General features: G+C 53.5%; 1 protein-coding gene across 2 annotated transcripts in view, besides 1 other annotated feature; it reads left to right on the forward strand.

Annotated features, from left to right (window-relative positions):
- TTYH2 (tweety family member 2) overlaps positions 1–20,139 on the forward strand; it is a 48,450-nt gene that overhangs the window by 13,985 nt on the left and 14,326 nt on the right. For both annotated transcript variants that reach the window (NM_032646.6, NM_001330453.2), the window contains exons 3-6: positions 3,333–3,444; positions 9,739–9,959; positions 15,819–15,914; positions 16,422–16,494. In NM_032646.6, coding sequence (NP_116035.5) covers positions 3,333–3,444; positions 9,739–9,959; positions 15,819–15,914; positions 16,422–16,494 — 502 coding nt within the window. The remainder of the gene's footprint in view (positions 1–3,332; positions 3,445–9,738; positions 9,960–15,818; positions 15,915–16,421; positions 16,495–20,139) is intronic.
- Positions 17,327–18,221: an enhancer, noted in NCBI's record as "OCT4-NANOG-H3K27ac-H3K4me1 hESC enhancer chr17:72241021-72241915 (GRCh37/hg19 assembly coordinates)". NCBI's record gives its function as "activates a minimal SCP1, AML or CMV promoter by ChIP-STARR-seq in naive H9 embryonic stem cells {active_cell/tissue: H9 hESC(naive)}" and the evidence as "EXISTENCE:reporter gene assay evidence [ECO:0000049][PMID:30033119]".

Genomic DNA, 20,139 nt, shown 5'->3' on the forward strand with positions numbered 1-20,139 from the left:
GCACTTGGTGAAGCTCCTCCCCTCTGTGTGGATACAGTTGCATTTTCTATGATGGTGCATTTAACTGGGTTCAAAGCTAGTTACACAACTCTGGTTGAACCCAATGAATATTGACTTATGCAGTGGATTTCTAAACTGTAGAGGGGGTGTGTGTAAGAGAGAGACAGAGATACGTAAAGCATGCAGGAACCTTGTTTTTTTTTTTGTTTTTTTTTTAATGTCTCCTGCCCCCCCATCTTGGATGATACAGGAACCTCATTTTAAAAGGCACATTCCCAGACCACACTGATGGAATGGGCCGGGCTGCTTATCTGCACTTAACAGGCTCCCCAGGTGATTCTGTTCCCGTGGTCTGAGGACCACATCCTGAAAAACACTAAATTAGGAGTTGAGGGCGCCCTGGAAGGAGGTTTCTTTTCTTTTCTTTCTTTTTTTTTTTTTTTTTTGAGATAGAGTCTTGCTCTGTCTCCCAGGCTGGAGTGAAATGGTGCAATCGTTGCTCCCTGCAACCTCCTCCTCCTGGGTTCTAGCGATTCTCCTGCCTCAGTCTCCCGAGTAGCTGGGATTACAGGCATGCGCCACCACGCCCAGCTAATTTTTGCATTTTTAGTAGAGATGGGGTTTCGCCATGTTGGCCAGGCTGGTCTTGAACTCCTGACCTCAGATGATCTGCCTGCCTCAGCCTCCCAAAGTGCTAGGATTACAGGCATGAGCCACTGCGCCTGGTAGGAGGTTTCTATCACAGTCCTCCAGGGGGTTCCGTCCTAGATCCTGTGTTGTTTAAAGAACAACAGAACAAATATAAGTGTGGACGTGTACATTCATCTCCCCCCACCCCAACCCAAATGAGCATTTTGGATGAAAACTCAGGAGGCTGCTTAATCAATCTTCAGATGGTCTCAAGTGGTGCAGGTCAGATGGAATATGATGGATGACAAGAGTCAAGATTTGAAATGATTTGTTCATGCTGGAATGTTGGACTAAAACCAACTAGATGAGATTTCACAGGGATAGATTTAAAGTTCTGCTTTTGGTTAAAACAACACAAAAATCAATACAGCACTATAGGAAGGAGGAGAGACTGGGCTTAACAGCAATTCTTGGGAAGAAATTCAGGGGCTGTTTGTAGACCACAAGATCAGTGGGGGGCGGGGGGAACCAGGGCGGGTGCAAGTTCAGGTCAGTGCCCTGGGAAGTGGAGGACCTAAGGCATGACCCCTGCTGCGCTCAGAGCTGATGAACAACCTGGACTTGAGTGACTCACTCAGGCCACATTTAAGAGTGACATTAACCAATTAGACTTTCATTTGGAGGACAGTGATGGCATGGGCAAGGGTCTGAAACCTTAGTCCCAAGAAGGACACCTGCCCACTTGGAGAGCATGAGGTGAGAGGGTTATGAGGAAGCCAGGTTCAGCTGTCTGATGGGGCACGGTGCAGAACTGGAAACTTCTTCCAGGCTGCCCTAGAAGACAAATGAAGATCCAGGGGGTGAGTGGTTTAAGGAGGCAGGTGTCAGCTCAGTAGAAGAAGGAACATTCTATAAGTTGGGAGTTCACAGTGGAAGAACAGACTGTGACATGGGTGGCCTGAGGATGTTGGGGGAAAGGGTGGAGGATGTCGAGAGAGTCCACAATTCCTGGAGGTGTCAAGAGAGACCCAAGGTTGGCAATGAGTATGTGATCTCAGTAGACCTCAGCGATTCCCAGGCCCACCTGTGTCAGAATCCCCTGGGGGCTGGTAAAAGTGCAGGTAACCTAGGCCCTCCCCAGATCTACTGCATCAGCATCCCTTGGGCTGGCTACAGTCTCCCAACTTTTGGAGTCTTAGGACTAGAGGACAGTATTTTCCTATTGCCCAAATAAAATGTCCTGTAGAACCAGCCTGCCAGGGACCCTGAACCTTCACCTCCCCACCCCCAGCCCCACCTGCCAGAATGTGAGATGTCATCCACCTACTCACCGCAGCCCCCAGGAAAGAGTTCCTCAGCTCAAGTCAAAAACCTGCTCTCCATAGATGTTCACAGCAGCTGTATTCAGAATTGCCAGAACTTGGAAGCAACGAAGATGTCTTTAACAGGTGAATGGATAAGCTGTGGTCCATCCAGACAATGAAATATTATTCAGCACTGAAAAAAATGAGTTTTCAAGCTGGAATAAGTCATGGAAGAATCTTAAATCCATATTACTAAGCGAAAGAAGCCAGTCCGAAAATGCTCCACACTGTATCGTTTCAACTCTATGACATTCTGAAAAAGGCAAAACTAAGGAGAAAGTGAAAAGGTCAAGGGTTAAGGCCAGGTGCAGTGGCTCACGCCTGTAATCCCAGCACTTTGGGAGGCCAAGGCAGGTGGATCACCTGAGGTCAGGAGTTCAAGACCAGCCTGGCCAACATGGTGAAACCTCCTTTCTACTAATAATACAAAAATTAGCCAGGCGTGGTGGCGGACACCTGTAATCTCAGCTACTCAGGAGGCTGAGGCAGGAGAATCACTTAAACCCAGGAGTCGGGGGTTACAGTGAGCTGAGATAGCGCCATTGCACTCCAGCCTGGGCAACAGAGCGAAACTCTGTCTCAAAAAAATAAAAATAAAAATAAAGGGGTTAGAGGGGAGGGGGTACTTAATGGGCAGAGCACAGAGGAATTTTAGGGCAGTGAAACTACCCTGTATGATATGGTAATGGTGGACACGTCATTTTTTCATTTTTTTTTTTAATTTTTGCAGAGATAGGGTCTCACTACGTTGCGCAGGCTGGTCTCCAACTCCTGGGCTCAAGCGACCTATCCGCCTCAGCCTCCCAAAGTGTTGGGATCACAGGCGTGAGCCACCACACCCAGCCAACACATGTCATTATCCATATGTCCAAACCTATAGAATGTGCAACGCTGAGAATGAACCCTAGTGGAAGCTGTGGGCTCTGGGTGATGATGTGTGCATCTGGGCTCATCAGTTGTAATGGATGTACCACTCTGGTGCAGGGTTTTAGGGTGGAGTAAGAGGCTGTGCGTGTGTGGGGCAGCAGATATATGGGAACTCTCTACTGTCCACTTAATTTTGCTGTGAACCTAAAACTGCTCTAAAAACAAGCTTTTTTTTTTTTTTGGAGACAGAGTCTAGCTCTGTCACCCAGGAGGGAGTGCAGTGCCATGATCTTGGCTCACTGCAACCTCCACCTCCTGGGTTCAAGCAATTCTATGCCTCAACTCAACCTCCTGAGTAGCTGGGATTACAGGCATGAGCCACCGCACCCAACCCTAAGCTTATTTTTTAATATAAGCAAACATTCTCCTCTGTGTATCACCTCTAACCTCTGTTTGGGATCTTGCTTATAGTGCTGCGGTGGGCGTTGGTTTCTATGGAAACAGCGAGACCAACGATGGGGCGTACCAGCTGATGTACTCCTTGGACGATGCCAACCACACCTTCTCTGGGATCGATGCTCTGGTAAGGCTCCCGGGCAGCTGGCCGGGTACAGGCACAGCCCACAAGGTCAGCGTGGTCAGAGCAAGGGCCCCCGTCAGATCCCAGCTAGCTCAGCTGCACACGGAGGGGCTGTGTGACGCCTGAGGGCTGGACCCCCGCCTGCGCTGCAGTTGCCTCTGCTGGGGCAAATGGGCAATTGTGCGTTCCAAGCCTGCAGGGGTGGCAGGGATGGGGGTGAGGACTAAAGGAGGCAGCTGTGGGATCAAACCCCATTTTCCAACAAGCCGAACACTTTCTGATTTGTCAAAGGAGACCTTGAACATGGAAAATCAGCCCCACTGCATTTTTTGTTTTCATTTTAAGTGCTGCATATGGAGTATTGCAAGGTCCAGGAGATGCCAAGAGGAAAAAACTCTCTTCAGAGACAACTGAGGGCTGGGCGTGGTGGCTCACTCCTGTCTTCCCAGCACTTTGAGGGAGGCCAAGGCATGTGGAGCTCAGGAGTTTGAGACCAGCCTGGGCAACATGGCAAAACCCTGTCTGTACCAAAAATACAAAAATTAGCCAGTTGTGGTGTGGTTCCAGCTACTTGGGAGGCTGAGGCAGGGAGATCACTTGAGCCTGGGAAGCGGAGGTTGCAGTGAGCCAAGATCACGCCACCACACTCCAGCCTGGGCAACAGAATGAGACTCCATCTCAAAAATTAAAGAAAAAAAAAAAATTGAAGAGCCCCGTGATGTAAGGTAGTGGAGACCTGCCCCAGCTCCTCGGAGCTCTGGCTTCCAGGCAGTGACTCCAGGTGGGGGCTCACAGTGAAGGATGCTCTGGCCTGGCCAGAGGAGGTGTCAGACTCTTAGGGGAAGGGGAAGGCTACTCTGCCAAGCCAGGGCTGGATTTTGTGGCAGACGCTGCCTGATACACACGAGCCTTTTGCTGGGGCTGCCACCCCTCTGCTGGGGACCTGGCCCAGGGAGGAGCACGACAAGGGTGGACATCTGAGGACTTGGTTCCCTGAAAACTGCCTCTGCCTTTTCTACCCCAGCTGCCTGGAATTGGAGTTTTCCCACAGTTTGACCTTGGCCCCCACACACGTCATTCTCACTCTAAGCACCAGACCTTTTCAGCTGCTTATCCGAGCAGCCTCTGCCACAAAATCCAGCCCCAACAGGAGAATTTGGCCATTGCCCCGGCATCCTCCAGAAGAGGATTGGACCCCATTTGCCCCCCTCCTGCTCCCTTAAGCTCCTCTAAGGCTTTAATCCCTCAGTCAACAAGGGGGGTCGGGGGTGTCACCTTAAAGAGACAGCTGTGCTGCTCCTCCGTGCCCAAGTCAATTGTGGGAGGAGGCCCTGGCCTCCAGAAAGGGGCTGAGGGTGGCTACAAAACCAGGGGCCCTGGTCCTTTGCAGAGTTCATTCCACCGCCCGTGTCCACTGGGACCCATCCCCTTAGCTGAGCGCTGAGTCCCAGTGCGGAGATGCTAGTCTGGAACAGCCTTGCGCGGTGAGCTGGGGCGGCTGGGTTGGAGGAGCTGAGGGACAGCCAGCTCAGGCCTGGGAGGCAGAGGTGTGGCCTGCCTGGGGAGAACTCTCCCTCTGGGCACCCACCCTTGCCCCAGGCCCTGGTGGGGAAGGGCCCCATGGTCACTGCCCTCTAGGCTCTCTCTGCCCCTCCCTGCCATCCTGCTGCCTGCCTCCTCTTCACCCACCAGCACCAGGATCACTGGAGGAGGAACCTAGCCCCGAGAGGAAAATCCCCTGCCCTGCCCAGGAAGGCACCAGGGCCATGACCTTCACGGGTTTAGAGAAACTCCCAGAACTCCCTTATGGGAAAACATCAAGTCCTAGAAGTCCCTATCCCACAGGACGAGAGCTGCCAGGGAGGGGAGCTGGAACGGGCCCCCAGGCTGGGGCCTCCCACCCCATGGCCTGATGGTGCTCCAGGGCCAGGTTTGGACATTTCACAGCAGGTTCCACTCTCTGAAATCCCTGCTCCAGGGCCAGGTTTGGACATTTCACAGCAGGCCCCACTCTCTGAAATCCCCTGTGTTCCCAAAGAGAAGGGTTCTGTATCCCTGGAGATCAGCCCCTCGTCCTCTCCGTTGTTACCGAGAAGTGAGGTCAGGAGTCCCAGGGCTTCACACTGGTCCAGCCAGCCCATAGCTGCCTCCAGCCTGTGGGTGGTCACCTCCCCCTCTGGCGTGAACCCCTAGGGCCCAGGTGTAGCTGCTGCCTTGCCTCCAGGTGGAAAGGTGGCACTGGGTCCTTACTAGGACCTGTGAGGCTGGTTTGGGCCTCAGAGTGGACACCCAGCACACCAGTCCTCAGGGCTCCAGGGGAGGCAGCAGATCTTAGAAGACTTCCCAGATCCAAGGGGAGAAGTCCGGATATCAGATAAATGACTAGTGAGATAATGTCAGTGAAAGTGCTGGTAGACTGTAAAGTACACTCAGCTGTATGACTGTGATTATGAGTGCTATTAATTACTGTAATCACCTTGGGGTCAGCGGGAGGCTGGGATCCAGGACGCTGTGGGCGGCAGAGGCAGATGGGGGACTCGTCGACAGGTCAGGCAGGACCTGGATCTGGGCCTTGCCAGAGGCCAGATCATGCAGCTGAGTGGCCAACAAGAAGCCCTCTAGGGATGCACCCACAGAGTGGGGTGGGCCCTGCTCCAAGTCCTCCTTTCCTGGACTGGAAGCCCCATACCTATGCACGTCCAACTAGAGGGACACCTGTGCCTTGGTGGGTAGGGGCGGTGGTTCAGGGATCAGGCGGTCCTGGGAGGGCTGCACGCCCCAGTCTAGGGGAGTAGAGAGGAGTCGTTTTGGGATACCAAAACTTCCTGTACCTGGTAGCCAGCACGGCCCCTCCAGGCTCTCTCATGTGAGTCTGCAGCAGGCTGATGGGCAGCCCTCAGATGTAGAAACTGAGGCACAGGGAGGTTGCATTGCTGACCCGAGGTTGAAAATGTGTATGTTTCAGAGCAGAAACCAGAACCCAGGCCTCCTGGTCTTAGCCCCTTACCTCCACTGACCTGGCCCATCCACACTTCCAGATAAGCTCACTGAGCGCTGGAGAGTCCTCCCTCCCAGAAGTTTTCATACTTGAGCTTGCATCAGAATCACCTGGAAGGGTTGGTAAACACTGATTGCAGGGCCCTGCCCCCAGAGGTTCCGCTTCAGCGGTCCTGGGGCAGGGCTGAGAGCTTTTGCTTTTGTGAGTGAGTTCCCAGGGGGTGCATCTTACGCCCCTAGTCCCGGGACCACACTTGAGAACTGCTCTTTCCTCTAGACCGTGGTCTCCGCCACCTGTAGCTCGTCCCTAAGTCTGCCCAGCCTGGAAAACTGACCTGTCCCTCCTGTTCTCAGAGCTTTCCGTGAGAGAGAGCCTGATTCCATCTCTGGGTCATCCCACCTGTCCCTGCGGGGAGTATTATGTCCTGAAACTTTAAGGAATTGGGGATGGTATAGAGAAGTGGGGAGTTGTAAGTAGGTCACTGCTGTCATTCTTATTTTTTAAAATTTTAGGATCTTTTGAGCCTAGGAGTTCAAGAACAGCCTGGGCAGCATAGCGAGACCCCATCTCAAAAAAACAATTTTTTAGTTTTGTTTCCTGTGGGAAAATATCAGGAAGAAAGAGAAGGCATGACAAATACAAATACTGCCTTCTTTTTTTTTCCCCCTAAGGAGGAGTTTAAGAAATAGAGAAGTTAACTGTGAGAGAGTAGAACTGTGAGGGAGAAAACAAGTGGCCTCACAGAAAAAGTTTACAGATAATTTTTTAACAGCCCTTTACTCTGAAGTTTGTTTGATTTATAGAAATATAGAAATATAGAAATGTCACCTATTACTGGGTTTGTTCAGAATGGCACTATTCTTTGATGATAGTGCCATTTGTATAAATGTTTCCAAAGTGGTTGTACATTTATCTTATTAAATTGAACAGCCAAGTGTACTAGCATGACATTTAGTTACTGAATGTACTTTTACATGGTTTGGGGTCTTTTCCCCTGTGCTTCGGGCTGTCGAATCTGCACATGGTAGAGTGTCTCCGTACTCTGGTATCTCTTAGTCCTTAACCAACTCGTAAGAACCAAGCATAAGCCAGAAAACGGAACAAGCCGCTGACACTGAAAAAATAAAACAAAATGAAACAAAGAGAGCCATTCTCTTTTCTGGAACTAGGAACTCCCAGCGTAGCGCAGATGTAAAAGGCCACACAGCTGATGTGAAGTCCCCATAACACAGAGAACACCGTTGGCCTCCGAGAGTGGAATCTAATCGGCCTTGCTGATCTCACTGTGGGAAGTTTCTGCCTCTTCTTCTGTGTCGTTTTTATCTCCCAGACCCGTGGGAGCTGAAGGCTGCCGAGTGTGGATTAGTGCACACTGCCCCACTCCCGGCCCGTTGTGCTTCTTGGTTTAGTGTGACAGTTTCAGAACAACAAAGCCCTTTCTCCGCTCGCTGCCAGCAAGGGCGTGCTTGGGGCTGCCAAGCTGCACCCCGGGGTTCTGCAGGCACCCTGGGTCTGGGCTGTGGGAAAGTCCCGCTAACCAGTACGAGCCCTGCCTGTGCTCTTCAAAAGCCAGCTAGGGTTGACCACTTGGACCATTAGAAATGGATGCACATGGCCGGGCGTGGTGGCTCATGCTTGCAATCCCAGCATTTTGGGAGGCCGAGGTGGGTGGATCACTTGAGGCCAGGAGCTCGAGAGACCAGCCTGGCCAACATGGTGAAACTGTCTCCACTAAAAATACAAAAATTAGCCGGGCATGGTGGTGCACACCTGTAGTCCTAGCTACTTGGGAGGGAGGCTGAGGCAGGAGAATCACTTGAACCCGGGAGGCGGAGGTTGCAGTGAGCCAAGATTGCACCACTGCACTCCAGCCTGGGTGACACAGAGCGAGACTCCATCTCAAAAAAAAAAAAAAAACAAAAAAGAGAAAGAAAGAAATGGATGAACGGGCTACTCTGGCACACTGCCTAGAGGGTAGCCCTGCTCTGCAAGGAGCAGTACCTTTAAATATAAATAAATAAATAATGTTTTTAACTGGATGGCCAGCCGTCAACTTTCTATTTCTGTCTTGCATTGGCAGATGTTTCCTTCAGGGTCCACTCAACCCCAGGCCCTTAGGGCTCAGCCAAGGGACAGGAGCCTGTCTGCCCACCCAGCAGGACACACATCCAGGGGAGGATGTGAATACAAGGAGAAGGCGCCGGTTTCCTCCTCCTGCCTCATGTCCAGGCTCCTCAGAGACAGGATCGCAGCTGTTTTTGTTTTTGCAAAGTCCCATTGTCCTGCCTTCACTCAGCGTTCAGGACCCGGTGTGCTGCGGCTAGTGCCACAACAAAGCTTTTCTCTTATAGAACAATTAGAAATCCTATTGTGGGGATACAAGGTCAAGGTAGCAACATAGAGTCTGTTTCTCTAAAAGAGAATTTGTAAGCCAAAGTGCTGAAAGTTTTAAGAGAATCTTCAAAGAATAATGGATTATTTTGTTGGTTTCTCCATCTGGGTGTCTCTGTATATAGTAAGGTATAGTAATGAATGCATACGTTTATTCCAGCCCTTTACAGCAGGGGCCACGTGGTGGGCACACAGGATAGCCTCCTTAGTAGAGAGCAACAGAGGCTCCAGAGGGCAGGGATGTGCCCACACTCCCAGCGCCAGAGGCTAGACCTGGCCTCAGCCTGCAACACATAATGGTGTGCTCCTTTGGCGCCAGCATTCTCTCTCTCGGAGCCCAGATCCTGTTTAAGGCCAGGTCAGGGACTGCCCCCTGGTTTGAGGGACATGAGGACTGGGTGGGTAGTGGCGGCCTCTGTCTTCAGTCCTTCCTCCAGGGGCACAGGCTCGAGATCTTCAGGCCTGGGGCAGCATGGTGTGTTCATTCATGCCTAAGCAGGCCAGGCCAGCTTTTTTTTTTTTTTTTTCGACACAGAGTATCACTCTTGTCGCCCAGGCTGGAGTGCAATGGTGCGATCTTGACTCATTGCAGACTCCGCCTCCCGGGTCCAAGTGATTGTCCTGCCTCAACCTCCCAAGTAGCTAGGACTATAGGTACATGCCACCACACCTGGCTAATTTTTATATATTTTTTTGTAGAGACAGGGTCTCACTGTGTTGCCCAGGCTGGTCTCAAACTCCTGGGTTCAAGCAATCCGCCTGCCTCAGCCTCCCGAAGTGCTGGGATGACAGGCATGAGCGTAATTATCGCACCTGGCCAGGCCACCTTCTGCTGCCTGCAAAGACCTCTTCCGGGATGAGAATCAGAAGCTCTACCTCCATGGCTTTTGCCCCCTGCTCCTCCCTAGGTTTCCGGAACTACCCAGAAGATGAAGGTGGACCTAGAGCAGCACCTGGCCCGGCTCAGTGAGATCTTTGCTGCCCGGGGCGATTACCTGCAGACCCTGAAGTTCATACAGCAGATGGCGGGCAGCGTTGTTGTTCAGCTCTCAGGACTGCCCGTGTGGAGGGAGGTCACCATGGAGCTGACCAAGCTATCCGACCAGACTGGCTACGTGGAGTACTACAGGTGAAGGACCGGTGGGAGGCAGAGGGAGGGGCAGCAGCGGCTACATCAGCTTTGTTTATCCAAACCTGCATGTTGAGCTCCAGGTGGAGAAGGGCCACTGGAAAGTATTTTTTTTTTGTTTTGTTTTTTTAAGACAGAGTCTTGCTCTGTTGCCCAGGCTGGAGTGAAGTGGCACGATCTCAGCTCACTACAATCTCTACCTCCGGGGTTCAAGAGATTCTCTTGCCTCAGCCTCCCTCCCAAGTAGCTGGGACTACAGGTGTGTGCCGCCACGCCAGACTAATTTTTGTATTTTTAGTAGAGACAGAGTTTCACCATGTTGGCCAGGCTAGTCTCTCGAGCTCCTGGCCTCAAGTGATCCACTGGCCTCAGCCTCCCAAAGTGCTGGGATTACAGGCGTGAGCCACCATGCCCAGCCCACCAGAAAGTCTTGATAAGCCATTGGCCAAAATCAGGAGAACATGGGGGCTTACAGGGGCCACGTGGTGAGCATGCAGGATAGCCTCCTTAATAGATAGGCAGCAGAGGCTACAGAGGACAGGGATGTGCTCACACTCCCCGCGCCAAAGGCTGGACCTGGCCTCAGCCTCCCGCACACGGTGGGGTGCTTCTCTGGGACTAGCATTCTTCGTGGCTGGTGCAGGGTGGAAACGCCACATGCTTCATAGGTTCCTCGCCTGCCAGAGTTCATGGGACAGGATTTCTTGTATCCACAGACACAGCCACAGGGTTATGGGGGGTTGAGGAGATGAGCACCCGGCTAAGGGTGCTAAGAAGTTGCCATCAGGGGAGGCTCTGACCTACAAGTCATTGTGCTCCCAGGGCCTGGGCCTAAGCGTGGAGGAGGCACAAGGGAGGAATGAGGCTGTGTCCCCAGACTCACTTTTTTTTTCTTTCTTTTTAAGACAGTATCTCACTCTGTCACCCAGGCTGGAGTGCAGTGGTGTGATCATGGCTCATTGTAGCCTTGAACTCCTGGGCTCAAGTGATCCTCCCGCCTCAGCCTCCTGAGTAGCTGGGACTACAGGCATACAACCACACCTGGCTAGTTTAAAAAAATTTTTTTTTGCAGCTGGGACTGGTGGCTCACACCTATAATCCCAGCACTTTGGGAGGCCAAGGCAGGCAGATCGCCTGAGGTCGGGAGTCCGAGACCAGCCTGACCAACATGGAGAAACCCTGTCTCTACTAAAAAATACAAAATTAGCTGGGCGTGGTGGCGCATGCCTGTAATCCCAGCTACTTGGGAGGCTGAGGCAGCAGAATTGCTTGAACCCAGGAGGTGGAGGTTGCAGTGAGCCAAGATCATGCCATCACACTCCAGCCTCAGCAACAAGAGGGAAACTCCATCTCAAAAAAAAAAAAAAAATTTTTTTTTAGAAATAGGGGTCTTGCTTTGTTGCCCAGGCTGGTCTCAAACTCCTGGCCTCAAGCAATCCTCCCACCTCAGCCTCCCAAAGTCCAAGGATTACAGACATGAGCCACCATGCCCAGACCAGCCTCACTTATGTAGAACCTGAGTGATGGGGACTGAGGGGCACCACCCTCACTTAGGTGTACAAACTCATGCCCGTGTCATCTGACCTCTGGGGCTTTGTTTACATCTCCCCTGCCTCCCCATTTGCCAAATCCCAGCCTAGCCAGAGGCACTGGACACAATCGGCGGAGCAGGGACCTGCTGCCCCTCTCCAGGTGCAGGGTCCAGCGAAGTTTGCTCCGTGGAAAGCACAGGAAGGAGGCAGCAGCCCCAGCCTTTGGAGGGCTCCCGGCTGAATGATGGCCTGGGCTTGTGCTCCCAGGGCCCGGGCCTAGCATGGAGGAGGCACGTGGGGAGGGGAAGCATGAGTCAGGAGGAGCGAGTGTCAGTTCTTTGGATCCCTCCCCGCACCCTCCATTTGTTGGCTCCTCTTCAAGCCATTGATGAACGTCAGAGCCTTTAGCTCAGGGTTGCACAACTTACTTCTGTTTTCTGGATTTGTGTCCCCTTGTGTCATAAAGCCCCACTCCAGGAGGTCACTGCTGGACTGAGTCCAGGGGCCTCTCCCCTTCCCAAAAATAGGAGGTGGCAGGTCCCTGAGCAGAGGGAGCTCATGAAGTCCCCAGCTCTGGGGGTCCTCCCCACACCTTGCCTCCCCAGCCCGTCCAGTCCCTGCATCTCCGCCATGTCCTGGATGCTCTGGATTGAAGGGACCTTGGCCCCACTCCCCAGCAGATGGATGCTCATGGGCAAAAGAGCCTCCCTCCCAAGGGACAGAAGGAAACTGCCAGCTCTAAGGACTGTCTGTGACCTCCTGTGGCCCCAAAACAGGGGTGTCTGATGATTCTCCTGATGCATGGGCCATTCATTGCCTGAGCCTTCGAAATCTTATGTCAGGCAGGGGCAGGACCCATTTTAACGTCACTCTTCTCTGAGCACACCTAGCAGAGGACTGTGTATGTTTAAGGGCCTCATGTGGGCATTTTGTTAATGACACTGATGGAATTAAGTCAGAATTTACATATCAAAGGCGGCTTATTGTTAAGGCGATGGTATTAAAATAGTGGAAGGATGGTGTCAACTGCACATCAGCTATTTCAGCGTGGGTGATTGACAGGACCCCCTGTGAGTCCATCCCCAACTCCCCACTGCTTATTCGGGTTGAGGCAGAAGAGGTTTGGCTCATGCTGTAATCCCAGCACTTTGGGAGGCTGAGGTGGGTGGATCACCTGAGGCCAGTAATTCGAGACCAGCCTGGGCAACATGGAGAAACCTCATCTCTACTAAAAATACAAAAATTAGCTGGACGTGGTGGCGCACGCCTGTAGTCCCAGCTACTTGGGAGGCTGAGGCAGGAAAATTGCTTGAACCCAGGAAGCGGAGGCTGCAGTGAGCCGAGATTGCGCCACTGCACTCCAGTCAGGGCAATAGAGTGAGACTCTGTCTCAAAAAAAAAAAAAAAGCAGAGGTCTAGTCCAAGGTTGGCACCTATGGCGCCTGAACATCAGTGATATTCTACCCCTTCTCCTGTCTTTGCTTCCATCTGTGGCTTCTCCTCTCACCTGAGCTGCTCTGCAAAAAAAGCCCTCCCCTGAAGGGCCCCTGTCTTTGCTTTTGGGATAGTCCTTGAGCATAACCATGCAGCAAAGCAGATATTTCCTAGCATTTTTATACAAGGCGGGGCGAAGTATTGGAGGAGATAAAAAGCCAAGGGGCTCCTCTCTTTGAGAGGCTACGGTTGAGGGAAGAGGGAGCCGGGGTGGGAGTGGCTCTGGCAGGCAGAGCCGAGTTCTTGGTTAGGAATACATCCCCCAGTCCTCGCCCAGCTCCTCTGGGAAAACACATCCGCCTAGAGGAGATGTTTCCAGGAACCCCTGACAACATGAGGCGTGGAGGCAGGGAAAATACATTGAATCACAGCCACAGAGAGTGGGTTAGAAGCACCCCTAACTGGATTTCCTGCTGCTCTGCAGAGCGGAGGCGAGTGGTGAGAAGAAATCTTTAAGTTTGAAACATGAACTGGGTATTTCGAGAGGTGCCCTGTAGCTGGCTGTGTCCCTTGCAGGAAGCTTGATGTAGACAATGTGGAATTTCTGGGCCAGGCTCTCCCCACCAGGGGCCTTGGCTTTCTAATCTGTACTAATCTGTAGAATGGGATCCAGCTCACACCTATGATCCCAGCACTTTGGGAGGCTGAGGCAGGAGGATCTCTTGAGTCCAGGAGTTTGAGACCAGCCTGGACAACATAGACAGACCCGGTATTTATAATACGTGTGTGTGTGTGTGTGTGTGTGTGTGTGTGTGTGCGTGTAAAAATAAGAATGTGATCCAAACACTAGATGGTTTGCGAGGTTCCTTCCAGCTCTGAGCTAAGTCTAAGGAAACTGGCTTCTTGGTGGCAGCAGGCTCTGCCCACTCCCCAAAGCCCCCGGCTCCATTCCGGGGAACCCCAGAGACCTAGTGTGTGCTGCCCCCTGCTCGTGCAGAGACAAGGACTTTGATTAGTCCCCTTCTTTTGGCAGTAAGCCTCAATTCGGGGAGTCAGAAAGAACCTCCCTTGGCTGCCAGGCCTCCAGCTTGCTCCCTCCCCTCTCTCCCTCGGAGCCTCTTTGCCACTTTCTGCCAGCTCCAGGGCACTCCCTGCCCACGCTCCAAACTCCGTCTTCCCCTTTATGATGTCAGTGAAGCAGAAAACCATTGCTGGAGAGGAGAGGTCAGCGACTTTACTTGGCTCTTGCAGCAAGAGAAATAATGATCCAAATACTTCCCTCTTTGGGGACGGGGAAGCCCCTGTCTCTGTGCCCGCCCCTCCTCTGTCCACTCTCCCGCTGGTGCCCAGCACAGGGTAAAGGGCATGGCTGCCAGGGGAGACCACTGGGCCTTGTGAGGACCACCTTGGGGACCTGTGTGGAAGGGAAAGGAACGAGGGCACTTTGTTTGGGGTCTTCTCAGTGTCCGTTGGCTTAAGATACTTTGATTCTTCAGCCTGTTCTCTGGAGAAGCAGGAGGGCAGGGCCTTTGAAGTCCTTGGCTGCCTTGCCCCATCAACCTTTATATTTAGCAAGCACTTAATCCTTCCTCTGGCCCTGTGAGATGAGGGGTTCCAGCTCCCTCTACAGATATGGAAACCAAGGTCTCAAGGGGTGAAGTGGCTTACCAAGGTCTCCCAGCTGGGGTGTGACTGCCTTTCCCCATCAGTCCAGCCCTGGGGACAAAAAGGCCAGAGGAATGAAGGGCTTGGAGGAGGCTGGAGGTCTGCAGGGCTGTAGGTACCCTGACCTGGACTCCCGGGTTCCACACTGAGCCCTCTGATGGTCAGAAACGAGCCCACTCACCTGGGTATCCCTGGTGCCAAGCTCAGTGCCTGGCACAAATGTTGTTTAAAAATGAACCTGAAGTTTTTTGTTGTTGTTGTTTTTGAGATGGAGTCTCACTCTGTGGCCCAGGCTGGAGTGCAATGGCGCCATCTCAGCTCACTGCAACCTCTGCCTCCTGGTTTCAAGTGATTCTCCTGCATCAGCCTCCCGAGTAGCTGGGACTACAGGTGCCCGCCACCACACCTGGCTAATTTTTGTATATTTTGTAGAGATGAGGTTTCACCACGTTGGCCAGGCTGGTCTCGAACTCCTGGCCTCAAGTGATCTGCCCGTCTTGGCCTCCCAAAGTGCTGGGATTACAGGCGTGAGCCACTGCGCCTGTCCTGAACCTAAAAGTCTTAAGTTATGGATCCCATCCAGCAAGGGGGCAAGATGGGAGGCCTTGGGGAGCCAGGCTGAGTGTTTGTCAAAGAGGCAGGCACCTTAGGGGCTGTGTTAGATCTGTGGCTATAAACATCAGGCCTTGGCTGGTCTGATGCTGTCTGAGAGTTCTAGAAGCAAAGGGAAGCAGGGTCCTAGGCGATGCCTGCTGGGAGGCCGCAGAAAGACACTTCAGAGCTGTGCTGTCCAGGGTGGTAGCCCCAGCCATGTGTGGCTATTGAAATTAATTAAAATTAAGTAAAGTTTAAAATGTATTTCTTCAGTTGCACAAGCCATATTTCAAGTTCTCGGTAGCCACCTGTGGGTAGTGGCAAAGAAGAGAGTGGACAGCAGGGATTTAGAACAGCTCCTCCACTGGGGAAAGTTCTAGTGCACAGTGCTGGTTTTGACACTCAGCCTAGAGGTGAAGGCAGGGGGTGTGAATTGACAGCTTTGTCCAGGCAGCAGTGGGGGTGCAGCTCCCGAGGCTTCAGCCCACGCATGCTGGGTGCTTGCTGGCTCTGGGCAGCATGTCCATAGTAGAGGGTCCAGTGTGTCCCAGGGCTGCCGTGCAGGCCTCTCACGTGGCCAGCAGGTCAGAAGTTCCACCCTGCTGCTCCTGACCATCCCTGCCCCTCTACCCAGGTGGCTCTCCTACCTCCTGCTCTTTATCCTGGACCTGGTCATCTGCCTCATTGCCTGCCTGGGACTGGCCAAGCGCTCCAAGTGTCTCCTGGCCTCGTGAGTATCCCTACCCGTGGACCTGGGACAAAGAGCTGGGCAGGATGCCATCATCAGAGAGAGACGAGGGCCTGGCCAGCTCCAGAGTGTGGGGAAAATAGCCAGGCTGCCTGAGGCCACCTTCTGCCCCGTCCTCAGCACTCAGCAGAGGAGACAGACAGCAGCCACCAACTCACCATCTGGTCACCAAACGAGCAAGCATTAGGCTTTCCTCCTTCTCTGGGCCTGACTCTGTTGAGCAGCTAAGAAACATGGGTCCGTGCATGAAAGCCTCTGGCCGTCTTAGCCAACACTGCCCCCTTAGCCTGTGCTCTCACGCCTGGGTCTCTTTAGCCTCAAGGACCTGGGCTCCATGGTCCTTTCCTAGTAGTGAGCAGGGCCCACGTCAGGGCAGGGACTGAGGCTGCCTTTGGATCCATTGCAAGGGTCTGGGGGCAGGGTGGGTGGGGTGATGGCTGAGAGGAAGGGGACCCCGCCTGCCAACGTTGTCGCCTGCCTCTCTCCTAGGATGCTGTGCTGTGGGGCACTGAGCCTGCTCCTCAGTTGGGCATCCCTGGCCGCTGATGGCTCTGCGGCAGTGGTGAGTTGGGGGAGGGAGTGGGTGGTGGGTGGTGGTTGGTCTGCCAGGACACTCTGGTGTGTCTCCAAGCAGGGCCAGCTTCCGGTCCCAGCTCCTAACCTAGAATCCCAGAATCTCAGAACCAAAGGGACTTGCGTCATCTGAACCGGCCCCTCTCGTTACAGATGGGGAAACAGGCCCAGAGAAAGGAAGGGGACTGCCCAGGGTCAGAGCCAGGATAAGACACTCATGCTTCATACCCAGAGAGAAGCCCCCGGCTGCCCAGGCATGCTTAGGCTTACACGTGCTTAGGCTTAGGCGTGCCTGGGTGACCAGGGCGCTTCTCTCTGGGTGTGAAGAACTGACCGGGTCTCCTGAGAATGGGTAGGGGTCCAAGCCTCAGACTGGGGAATCCCTCCCGCATCAGAAGCTGCTGCTTTGCCAGCTCCCCAGGCCCTGGGACTGTAGAATGTGGTGTCTGACTTGCCTTCCATCCCAATGTCCCAGGACTCCCGCGGTCTGAAGCACACATGCTGTATGTTTCTGGATGTGATGTCTCAAAATGGCTTAAAAAAAAAAAGTTGGGGGCTTCCTATGCGGGTCCACATGATCTTTAAAGGACCTAACACTGGCGCTAAGCTGTGTGCATGAGGCTGTTCATTCACTCAGCTGACATTGTTTGCTGGGTGGCACTCGATGGTACAAGTTGCCTGGGGTTGCGGAAGCCAAGAGGACGTGATGTTTGCTGTTGACAAAGTTCCAGCCTTTGGAAGCAAGACTCATAGGCAGATCACTGCAACCCCAGGCTTTGATACAGTGGAGGTGCAGTGTGTGTGTGTGTGTGTGTGTGTGTGTTTGTGTGTGTGTGTTCATGCACATGCACGTGATAGAAGAGAACACAGTTTACCAGGGGAATTCAAGGAACCCCTCACTGATTCAAAGTCCACAGACTAACCCTGGGACATGCATCTGTTCTGCCATAGTGACCTGAGGCTTGATAGGATAAGATGGGGGTGGCTTGTACAAGAAGCTCCCTAACCACACTCACACCTCGTCCAGTGACTTGGGGGCTGGCCACTAGCTCTGGGCGTGGACACAATGCCCTCAGGGACTCTGGCACTGCCTGACTTAGCACCTTAGGCAGAGGCTTGTGCAGAAGGGAGAAGAGGGGGCATTTTCTGTCTTTGCCTCCTGCCACCCCAGTGCAGTGACCACGGACCAAGGAATGGTCGAGAAAAGGCCCAAGTCATGTTTGAAAGCATGCAGGAGCTGGGACGGCTGTAAACAGTGCCACTGCTGGCCAGGGTGATGCAGGCAGCTGCCTGGCCTCCAGCCTCTCCTCTGGGGCCAGGGCCACGCACAGGGAAGCTGCAGGGAGCACACGGCGAACTCCTCCAGGGCCCCATCCCGCTTTCTGGGCAGCCTCTGCCTTCTGGAGGCAGCGGTGGCTTCCAGCTTGCCGCTGTGAGCTGCCCTGTGGTGGCCGCCCCTCCCAGTGGGGGCTCCTCCCTCTCACCAGGCTTCAGTGTTCACGAAAACCAGAGGCCATTTAATCTCCCAGCTGGGCGCCCTGGAATGCGGGGAGCTGGGGAGAAAGGCCATTTCCCTAATTCCTCTAGTCAGGCCCCTGAGTGCGAGATGGGGAGCAGGCGGTGGAGCTGAATGGGCTTTTGACGGGCTGGAGATGCTGCTGCATTTTAATAGGAAGCCGGGTGAGGAGGAGCCAGGAGGGCGGGGAGGGCGGCCGGCTGTCCCGGGGTTGTTGTGGAGAGCTTTTGTGTGGCCTCCCAATGCCACCCTGCTCTCTGAGGCCTGTTTTGACAGCCATGGGGCCAGAGGATTGACAAGGCCTCCCTTCCCCACCCCCGACCCCTACCCCTCCCTGTCCCTAGAAAGGACTCCATGAGGACAGAGCACTGCCCTGGAGATCTGCTCTGGGTGAGGCAGGGAGAGGAGGGAGCAGCGGAGCTCCAAGCTTCCAGGCCCTGGGGCCACCCCTCGTGGTCAGCACTGCGAGTCAGGAGGTGTCTGGGGTGAGGGGCTAGAGCAGGCAGAGAGGCTGGGAAGCCCTGGAAGAAGGAAGGGGAAGGAAATGGGTTCAGCTGTGAGGGAGGAGGCAATGGCTGTCACAAGTGCTTTGGCCACCGAGCCTGGGGACAGAGAACTTCAGGGGATTCCTCCAGCTAAGGGGCAGCCAGGCCTGCCCCTGAGTCAGAGGGTGGGAGTGTGGCCTCTGCAGCCACCCTGTCTGGGCCCACATCCTCCCTTCACCCCTTCCCAGCAGTGGAAACCCAGGAAAGTTCCTGAGGTTTTCTGTGCCTCAGCTTCCTCCTAGGTGAACACAGAGAATAACAGGACTTACCTCAAAGGGCTGTTGCTAGGGAAAGATGAGTGGGTTCATCCTGGGAGGCACACAGAAAATGTCCAATAAACAGTGGCCACCACTGGCTTCCTGTGCATTCATCGTCATCATGCTAGGGTCACGGGGGTCCCTTCAGACCCACACCTCCATTCTCAGGAGCTGCCTGCAGGCTCAGCCATCACCTGGGCTGGTTACTGGGCAGCCTCTCCCACCTGCCCCAACTATGCTCAGTGACCTCCTTCCTGTCCCCTCTCCTGCCATCCCTATCACCATGGCATGAGTAATGCACACGTGTATTAGTCCATTTTCACACTGCTGATAAAGACATACCCAAGACTGGGCAATTTACAAAAGAAAGAGGTTTGATTGGACTCACAGTTCCACATGGCTGAGGAAGCCCCACAATCATGGTGGAAGGCAAGGAGGAGCAAGTCACGTCTTACATGGATGGCAGCAGGCAAAGAGAGAGGACGTATGCAGGGAAACTCCTGTTTTTAAAACCATCAGATCTGCCAGGTGTGGTGGCTCACACCTGTAATCCCAGCACTTTGGGAGGCTGAGGCAGGGGGATCACCTGAGGTCAGGAGTTCAAAACCAGCCTGACCAACATGCCAGAACCCCATCTCTAGTAAAAATACAAAATTAGCCAGGCATAGTGGTGCATTCCTATAATCTCAGCTACTCGGGAGACTGAGGCAGGAGGATTGCTTGAACCCGGGAGGTGGACGTTGCAGTGAGCCAAGATCACGCCACTGCACTCCAGCCTGGGCGACAGAGTGAGACTCTGTCTCAAAAAAAAAAAAAAAAAAAAATCAGGTCTTGTGAGACTTATTCATTATCAAAAGAACAGCGTGAGAAAGACTTGCCCCCGTGACTCAGTTACCTCCCACCAGGTCCCTCCCATAACATGTGGGAATTCAAGATGAGATCTGGGTGGACCATTTCGACATGCACACACACAAGGGCATCACACACATACATGCACACGCACACAGGTGCTTGTCTTCATTAATAGGAGAGTTGACTCCTCACTGAGTCCCACACCCCAAACCATCCTATGCACCTATCCCAGGAGATGGAGGCTCCAGGGTGGCCAAGGGGTGTGAAGAGCAGGCCTGGCCTGGGAGGGGAAGGAGGAGAGAGGCAGGAGGAAGACCATGTCACTGTGGAGCCTTGGACTGGAGCCTCCTGTCCCTCTCCTTTCTTGGTTCCCAAACTTCTTGGGGGTGACCCAAACTGAGATGGTGGCCTCGCTCTTTATTTCCCCAAGGCTTCCCCATCCTCCACTTGGGCCTGGCTGCACT

The sequence above is a fragment of the Homo sapiens genome, chromosome 17 (assembly GCF_000001405.40).
Source record: "Homo sapiens chromosome 17, GRCh38.p14 Primary Assembly".
NCBI lineage: Eukaryota > Metazoa > Chordata > Mammalia > Primates > Hominidae > Homo > Homo sapiens.